This window comes from Homo sapiens, chromosome 7 (assembly GCF_000001405.40).
Source record: "Homo sapiens chromosome 7, GRCh38.p14 Primary Assembly".
NCBI lineage: Eukaryota > Metazoa > Chordata > Mammalia > Primates > Hominidae > Homo > Homo sapiens.
The window spans coordinates 57,218,220-57,227,942 of record NC_000007.14 but is presented as its reverse complement, the minus strand read 5'-3'; the positions used below and the strand labels follow the sequence as shown (position 1 = coordinate 57,227,942).

At 49.9% G+C, this 9,723-nt stretch overlaps 1 long non-coding RNA gene and 1 pseudogene across 1 annotated transcript; one reads left to right on the top strand and one right to left on the bottom strand.

The window, feature by feature from the left end:
* On the bottom strand, positions 877 to 942 carry RNU7-157P (RNA, U7 small nuclear 157 pseudogene; annotated as a pseudogene).
* LOC105375297 (uncharacterized) lies at positions 5,769 to 6,774 on the top strand. Its single transcript, NR_136269.1, has 2 exons — positions 5,769 to 5,919; positions 6,362 to 6,774. It is a non-coding gene; the product is annotated as an uncharacterized LOC105375297 (long non-coding RNA).
* Positions 6,775 to 9,723: the final 2,949 nt, after the last annotated feature.

Below are 9,723 nucleotides of genomic sequence, written 5' to 3'. Positions count from 1 at the left end.
GGACCCCAATCACCTAGCTGAGAGCACCCCTGCTCCCATGGGGACACTGACCGCTCTGAGTGCCTGGCATTCAGGCCTCGAGCCACCCACTAGGCACAGCACAGGGCCTCCTTGGAACGCATCCATCTCCAGGGGCCGTTTCTCTGCAGGATGGCGCTGCTGCTGTGGGGAGGACCCCTCCTTCCTTCACGACAACCTGCCCTCACCTGGCTTGTCTCTTGGTAGACGTTGTCCCACACATCTCTGTCATTTGCATGCCACAATGGTGACAGTCTTCCTGGCCATGCTTGTGATAGGGCCTTTTAGTTTCTGACTGACACATTCCAGCCCGGCTTCAACTGCTTTCACTTACAAAGGCAGGTTTCCCTTCCCAGCCTCACATGGCGGTGGTCTCAGTGGAATTCAGGAGGCTGTGGGCTGTGAGGAGGGCAGCAAAGAACCCCAGCCCACCCCAAGCAGGAGATGGCAGGGTCCATCCGGCTGTCTGGAGACAGCCAAGACCCTCGGCCACTGCAGTTCTCCCCACTAAGCCTGGGCCCCCACTCCCGCTCCACACTGGGACAGATGCTGCAGGGGCAAACCCCAAATACCCTCCCTAACCAGAAACCGAAATACTGAAATCCACCAGATCGCAGCCCGGCCTGGTCAGATAGTGTGACTTTCCAACGAAGTCGAAAATACATATTTTTAGAATTAAACTGTAAATGTTGGCAACTAATTCAAATTCAATTGTGTTTTTTTTTTTTTTCATGGAGGGCTTTCTGGTGAAAACCAGACCCCACCTGGGAGCAGGCCCCGGGGGGACAGCTGTGGGAGAAGAGGATCTCCACCGCAAGTGCAAAGAACAGGCCACGAGCTGGGCACAGATGCCTCTTCCCGAGCCTACCTGGGAGTGAAAACCGGAAAACATACTAGACAAATTCTGAAAGAGCTGTAACACCTTATATTATTTTAAAAGTCTGCAGGTTGAGTTTATCCCAGACCCTTTACAGCTTTTTCCTTCTGACTGGTGAGGCCTCAGCTCAAATGTCACCTCCTCAGAGAGGCCCTCCCCCATGGCCCTATTTAAGTTGCCCCCACCAGAGTCACAGTCAGCGACACGCACCCTTCATTTCCTTCTTGGTGCTGAACGCTACCTGCAAGTGCCTCATCATTTGCGGTTGACATCTGCATTGTCCACCAGCGCTTAGGGTCCGTGAGGAGAGAGGCACGTCGCCTTGTGCCCTGGTGAATCCCAAATCCCCGCCCTGAGCACAGCACCTGGCACAGAACAGACACAGGCAATGAGTGCTGCTGAAATTTCCCCATGGAGCCAGTGGTGATCTGTCCAGGCTCTACAGCCCTCCCCCTAAATGTGTTCAGAGATGGGGACACTGGGGCCATCCTCCTTGCTCCACTCCTGGTGAAGAGCCCTCAGACCCATAGGATGGGCTTGTCAATATCACCTTCTCAGGTGAGCCTCATACATAAGCAGGTTCGGTGGGTTAACCAAGCCTACGTCTTTAACCCATGTGACAACCACAGTACCAGGGTTCTGCCATCAAATCTTTTCTATCCTCAGTCCTGCCTTGAGAATTCAGACTCTCCCAGAATTCAGTTTCACAGACTCAGAAGAGAATGTGATGCCAAATTGTTCTGAAATGTTTGGTAAAGCAAGATCAAATGATTACATTTGTGATCTGAAATCATTTGTTTGTGTCATGCCAACCCATATCTCCTCCAAATTATTTTCTTTAAATTCTCCCCAGAACGGGGAGCAGTATTAATTGTTGCCAATGAAAAGACTGCCCCTTTCATCAAAGCCATGAGCTTTATCTGCCATTTTTGAATATAACACTGGCTTAGTGAAAGCGATTGTAAATAGCAGGTCTTCTTTGTGCATTTTATGCTTCCAAATGTGCTAGTTGGAATAAAGAAGTGAAAAGTTTAAAAATCCTCTCTTGTAAATGTTTGGAAATTGCACTAGAGTTATTTCTTGCTCTTTGAGGGGAGAGGTCATCCTGCAAACGCACAGTCACACCTGTTCGGCTCCCCCGGGTTCTGAATGTCACTAGACCCCCACATCCCCCCGACCTTGGCAGGTCAGACTCTGTGAAGGATGCTCACTGTCTGTGTGACCTCACACCAGGTACAGGGACCAAGGGAAAGAGGCACATCTGGCTTGTAGGACAGTCCTGCAAGGCCACTTTTCTGGTAGGGAGGTGACACTTTCAAAGGAATCTCTCATTTCTCCCAGCTCCAGTCAGTTTCAACAGCAGGTGGGGTTTTCTTTCCTCTCAATTATTATAGATTTTTTTTCTAATAATCAAAGTCACAACTCATTTTGAAAGTTTTTAAAAATAGAAGAAAACAAGATTTTAAATCACAAGTGATTCCAACACCAAAGATAAGCAGCATTCGCATTTTGCTATGTAGTGCTCCTATTAGACAATACACACACATATGATCACACACACTTATGCATTTTTGCTTCATTAAAACAGAATAAAGCTTTATGGGCCAGGTGCAGTGGCTCATGCCTGTAATCACAGCACTTTGGCAGTCCAAGACAGGAGGATCACTGAAGGTCAGGAGTTTGAGACCAGCTTGGACAACATGGGGAAACCCCAGCTCTACTAAAAATATGAAAATTAGCTGGGTGTGGTGCATGCACCTGTAATCTCAGCTACTTGGAAGGCTGAGGCAGGAGAATTGTTTGAACCCAGGAGGCGGAGGTTGAAGTGAGCCGAGATCTCACCATTGCACTCCAGCCTGGGCAACAGAGTGAGACTCTGTCTCAAAAAAAAAAAAAAAGAGCTTTGTTTACACTAAACAATATTTTGTGTCCATATTTACATATAGATAACAACAGATCACTATTAGTTTTGGTATGTGCATATGTAGATATAAGTATTACATGAATTTCCTGCTTTTTATTCAATTACAGTTATATCACCTATCAGTGATGTAACTTCAGCCAAGACAGAAGTTTATCTCATAAAAACCAAGACTGGGCCGGGCACAGTGGCTCACGCCTGTAATCCCAGCACTTTGGGAGGCTAAGGCGAGTGTTTCACTTGAGGTCATGAGTTTGAGACTAGCCTGCTCAACGTGGTTAAACCCTATCTCTACTAAAAATAAAAAAATAACTGAATATGGTGGCACGCATCAGTAATCCCAGCTACTCGGGAGGCTGAGGCATGAGAATCACTTGAACCCAGGAAGCAGAAGTTGCAATGAGCTGAGATCATGCCATTGTACTCCAGCCTGGGCAACAGGGCAAGACTCTGTCTCAAAAAATAAAAAAGTAAAAACAAAACCGGAGGTTGTCAGTCTGGGGTGGCATTAGGGACTTTCATTTCCTTCCAGAGGACATTCTGCTATCCGCAGGGTAGAATCAAGGTTCAAGATGACAAGAATAGCTCCAACCATCATATGCTTATTCCAGGAAGCATGTCAAAGGATGGAACAACTAAGAAATGACACTAAAGATATGTGTCAGTCCATCTGCATTGCTATAAAGGAATTCCTGAGGCTGGGTTATTTATAGAAAAGAGGTTTAATTGGCTCACAGTTCTGCAGGCTGTACAGGCATGGCACCAGCATCTGCTCCTGGGGAGGCCTCAGGAAGCTTCCAATCATGGCAGAAGGTGAAAGGGAAGCAGATACATCATATGGCGAGAGAAAGAGCAAGAGAAGGAGGAGGATGTGTCAGGCCCTTTAAACAACCAGATCTCCCATAAACTCAGAGCAAGAACTCAGTCATTGCCATCGGGACAGCACCAAGCCATTGTGAGAGGGATCTGCCCACATCACCAAAACACCTCCCACCACGCCCCACCTCCAACATCAGGGATCACATTTCAACATGAAATGTGGAGGGGACCAACATCCAAACCATATCAAGACAGAAGTTACAGAAGGGGGTCTCCAAAAATACCACCCAACAATTTTATTACCTCCCATTGGCCAGAACCTGGTCACCTGGCCACAACTCACTGCAAGGAAGCCTGGGAAAATGTAGGGTGTGCCCACCCACTAGGAGAGGGGAGCACTGGTGCCAGGGTGCAGGACCACCAGCGGGCATTTATGCTTCCTACTCCTTTCTTCTTATAAAAATCCTTAGAGATTCATCTTTGCATATTTTTCTGACTATTTCCTAGGGATAAATGCCTATTAATGAAATTTGGGACCAAAAGTTATGCACTTTCATTGGCCAGTTGCCAAATTGCCCTCTAGAAACGTTGTACCAATGAACTCACCCAAGAGGTGGGGTTCTATTTCATGAAATGTTTCTCCACCCCACATTTCCTTTTAATCCACACCCTTTGGCCTTTATTAGGCTTACACATCTCTTCAGAATCCCTGCTTCCTACATCATAATCTTGGGATTTAATACATGTTTTTCGTTCAGGTTATTATTAATATCAGATTTATCTGACTATGCATGAACACAGCCACAGCCTTAGGGAAAGAGATGTGTCTTTCAATGGTGAAGAGAATAAAAATTAATAATCCTTAGAGACTTTGAAACTGAAGTGGTCAGGGAAGGGTGGAAAGAACAGATCTCATTCTATGAAGAGCATGGAGGGATTTTCACAAAGCATGTAGTGCTGAGTACAGCAGACCAGGCACCCGGGGGGCACCCAGAGAGCAGCCTTTCCTCAACAGAAGAGGAGTGAGCACCGCACAGAGTTGCAGAAAGGGAATCCCGGACAGGGGTAACAGTAGATGCAAAGGCCCCATGGCAGGCACCAACTTGTCCAGGTTTGCCCAGAACTTTCCCGGTTTTAACACTAGAAATCCCACGTCCCAGGAAACTTCTGAGTCTCAGCCAAGCTGGGATGATTTGCCTGGAACTGCCCCTGTTATAAAACTGAAAGGTCTGTGCCCCACCAGCCCCCTCAGTCCTGAGCAAGCTGAGGCAGTGGGTCACCCTAGACTGGAGCAATGTGCATGACAGTGGGAAGAGCCAGTGACTCTCTTTCGTGTCCCCTCCCCCCTCAACTTCAGAAGTCACCCAGGTGGGCACTGGCATCCAGGATGAAAACTTCCCAGCATCCTTTGCAGCAAGGAGTGGCCACATGACCAGGCAGTGGCCAATGCACATGAGGCCAGTGCACAGCAACTGCCTTTAGAGGAAGGAAGATTTGTGTCCTCATATTCTCTTCTCCCCTCCCTGCTCACTGGCAGTAGATAGGATGGACACTGTGGGGGAAGCTACACCCTAAGAAAGTCAGAGCAGCAAGATGGAAGTAGCCTAAGACCCTGAAAAATGCACAAAGAAGAATCACCCGACTGGCTTGGACTTTCATGTGAAAGGAATGAACCTCTGTCTTAGTAAAGCCACTGTCTTTACTAAGTTCAGGGTCCTTGTCACGTTCACTGAGGCTGTAACATAATTGTTAGAAAGAACAGGAGTGGGAGGGGAGATGGAGTCGGAGAGTCAGGCAGAGGTTAGATCACATCGGGCCTGTAGGCCAAGGCGGAGGAAGAAACAGGCGACACAGGACTCAAGGACAACACCTGCTCCCAGGCAAAAGGAGTTTGTTGTGGGTGCCCCTCCCTGTCTGTGTGTCCAGTGTGTGGATATTCTTTATACTTTGCCCATACTGTACAAATGCTTTTTTTCTATTCAATATTTAGAAGACATTGCATTAAATAGCAAGATGGCAGATGAACATCAGGAAAGAACATTAGGAACATCCACAGTGTTCCATCCAGGAACCTTCACCATGGAAACCCTTGTGCTCATGGGCCTGGTCTCAAGACACATTCAGCTGTTGGGGATCAGAGGCCGCACTCATCGTAGCAGAGAGGCAGGACCAACTGGGAGAGGGTCATTCTGTGACACCTACTGCATCACCGGGCTGTGTGAAGTGACTCAGCTGCCAGAACTCACACAATATCATTCTACACCAAAACCTCACGGGAAAAATCGTAAGTTCTCAGTTTCTCCATTAATAGCAACTCTCAGATTAATCTCCGTCCTCCATTGCTTCTCCATGAAACAACTTTTTATAGCTTTGCTTGGGTCTATTTTTCCATTTATTTTTTATTTTACTAACTGATTGAAAGATATATATTGTGTGTGTGTGATTTTGTCTCTGTCAGCCAGGATAATCATGGTTTAATTCCTATTATTATTATTACCAACATCCTTTAGTTTTTTTAAGCTTTTCAATTCCTAAGGGTATTAATCAGGAACTTTCTGTCTTATGAGACAGAAAAGAAATCCAAACTGTATAAGAGGAAAAAGAATGCACTCATCACTAGCATTGAGAAGTTCCCAAGCTTAGCTTGCTTGGGCTACAGCTACATCACCGTTTCCAGGGTCATCCTGTAACTCTCTCTACTTCCCCAACTTTGGCTCCATGTTTAGCTCCCCGACCCTCAGACTTAAACAGCAGCACTGGCTCCTCCCCAGATCTCCAGCTCCCTGACCCTCAAACTCCAACTGCAGCACCAGCTCCACCTGGGTCTCCAGCTCCATGATCCTCAAACTACAACAGCAGCACCAGCTCCCCCGTGGATCTCCAGCTCAATGACTCTCAGACTTGGGAGGTGGCACTGGCTCCCAACCAAGGCTCCAGCTCCACAAACCTCAAACTAGAACAGCAGCACCAGCTACTCCCTGGGTCTCCAGCTCCCTCAAACTTCAACTATAGCACTGGCTCTTCCCTGGGGCCACCAGCTCCACAACCCTCAACTTACACGGTGGTAGCACCAGCTCCTCCCCAGGTCTCCAGCTCCACGACCATCAAACTTGAACTGCAACACCAGCTCCTCTTCAGCCTCCAGCTCCACAATCCTCCAACAACAACAGCAACACTGGCTCCTCCCTGAATCTCCAGCTCAACAACTCACAGACTTGAGAGGCAGCACCGGCACCTCCCCAAGGCTCCAGCTCCATGACCCTCAGATTTGAACAGTGGTAGCACCAGCTCCTGTCCAGGTCTCCAGCTTCACTATCCTTAAACTAGAACAGCAGCACCGCCGCCTCCCTGGGTTTCCAGCTCCATGACTCTAAGACATGAATGAAAGAACCGGGTCACCCCAGCACTCCAACTCCAAGACCCACAGATTTGAACGGCAGCACTGGCTCTTCCCGGGATCTCCAGCTCCACGGCCCTCAAACTAGATCAGCAGCACCGGCTCCTCTCTGGTTCTCCAGCTCCACAATCCTCACACATGAACAATAGTACCAGCTCCTCCTTGGGTCTCCAGCTTCACTACCCTCAGACTAGAACAGCAACACTGGTTCCTCCGTGGACCTCCAGCTCTACAATCCTCAGAAATGAACAGCAGCAGCACCGCCTCCTACCTTTGTCTCCACTTCCACAACCCTCAAACTACAACAGCAGTACCGGCCTCTCCCCAGGTCTCCACATACATGACCCTCAAAATAGAATGGCATCATAGGCTCCCTCCTGGATCTCCAGCTCCCAAACCCTCAAACTTCAATTGACACACCAGATCCTCCCCACAGCTAAATAGCAGCACGGGCTCTTCCCCAAAGCTCCAGATCCACGAACCTCTGACTTAAGTGGCGGTAGCACCGGCTCCTCCCTAGGTCTCCAGTTCCACGACCCTCAAACTATACACCAGCACCAGCTCCTCCCCAGGTCTCAGGCTCCATGACCCTCAGACTTAAAAAGCCATAGTATGGACTTCTCCCTGGGGCTCCAGCTCTACAACCCTCAGACATGAACAGCAGCAGCACCGGCTCCTCGCCCTGTCTCCACTTCCACGACCCTCAAACTACAACAACAGTACCAGCCTCTCCCCAGGTCTCCAGATCCACGACCCTCAAAATAGAATGGCATCACCGGCTCCTCCCTGGGTCTCCAGCTCCCAAACCCTCAAACTTCAATTGACACACCAGATCCTCCCCACAGTTAAACAGCAGCACGGGCTGTTCCCCAAAGCTCCAGATCCATGACCCTCTGACTTAAATGGCGGTAGCACCGGCTCCTTCCTAGGTCTGCAGTTCCATGACCCTCAAACTACACAGCAGCACCGGCTCCTCCCCAGGTCTACAGCTCCACCACCCTCACACTAGACACCAAGACTACCTCCTCCCCACTCTCCAGCTACATGACCCTCAGACTTGAACAGCAGCGGCTCCTCCCTGTACCTAAAGCCCCATTATGCTCAGACTTGAACAACAGCAACACCAGCTCCCCCACAGGGCTCCAGCTCGAGGACCCACAGATTTAAACAGCAGCACCGGCTCTTCCTGTGACCTCCAGCTCCACTAACCTCAAACTAGAACAGCAGCATCGGCTCCTCCTTGGGTCTCCAGCTTCACTACCCTCAGGCTAGAACAGCAACACCGGTTCCTCCCTGGGTCTCCAGCTCAATGACTCTCAGATTTGAAACGCAGCACCGGCTCCTCACAAAGTTTCTGGCTCCAAGGCCCTCAAACTATAATAGCAGCAGCTGCTGCACCCTGGGTCTCCAGCTCCACAACCCTCAAAGTAGAAAAGCAGCCCTGGCTCTTCCCCAGGTCTCCAGCTCCTCGAGTCTGAGGGTTGTAGAGCTGGAGACCCAGGGAGGAGTCAGTGCTGCTGTTCTAGTTTGAGGGTCGTGGATCTGGAGACCCAGGGTGGAGCCGGTGCTGCTGTTCTAGTGTGAAGGTCATGGAGCTGGAAGACCCCGGAAGGATCTGCTGCTGCTGTCCTAGTTTGAAGGTCATGGAGCTGGAGACCCAGGAAGGAGTCATTTGAACAGCAGCACTGGCCCCTCCCCAGGTCTCAGGCTCCATGACCCTCAGACTTAAAAAGCCGTAGTATGGACTTCTCCCTGGGTCTCCAGCTCTACAACCCTCAGACATGAACAGCAGCAGCACCGGCTCCTTCCCCTGTCTCCGGTTCCACGACCGTCAAACTTCAACAGCAGTACCAGCCTCTCCCAAGGTCTCCAGATCCACGACCCTCAAAATAGAATGGCATCATCAGCTCCTCCCTGGGTCTCCAGCTCCCAAACCCTCAAACTTCAACTGACACACCGGATCCCTCCAAGGTTAAACAGCAGCATGGGCTGTTACCCAAAGCTCCAGATCCATGACCCTCTGACTTAAATGGTGGTAGCACTGGCTGCTCCCTAGGTCTCCAGTTCCATGACCCTCAAACTACACAGCACCGGCTCTTCCCCAGGTCTACTGCTCCACCACCCTCACACTAGACACCAACACTACCTCCTCCCCGCTCTCCAGCTACACGACCCTCAGACTTGAACAGCAGCAGTGGCTCCTCCCTAGATTTCCAGCTCCATGACCCTCAACCTGCAACCGCAGCACGAGCTCTTCCCTGTACCTCAAGCCCCATGACCCTCTGACTTGAACAACAGCAACACCAGCCACCCCCAGGTCTCCAGCTCCACAACCCTCAGCCTTAAGCAACAGCAGCACCAGCTCCTCCCTGGGTCTCCAGATTCACACCCCTCAGATTAGAACAGCACCCCTCCTCTCTGAGTCTCCAGCTCCATGACCCTCAAACTACAACAGCAACACGGGCTCCTCCCTGCATCTCCAGCTCAACAACTCTCAGACTTGAGAGGCGGCACCGGCAACTCCCCAAGGCTCCGGCTCCATGACCCTCAGATTTGAATAATGGTAGCACCATCTGCTATCCAGGTCTCCAGCTTCATGATCCTTAAACTAGAACAGCAGCACCACTGCCTCCCTGGATTTCCAGCTCCACGACCCTAAGACATGAATGGCAGAACTAGCTCCCCACCAGT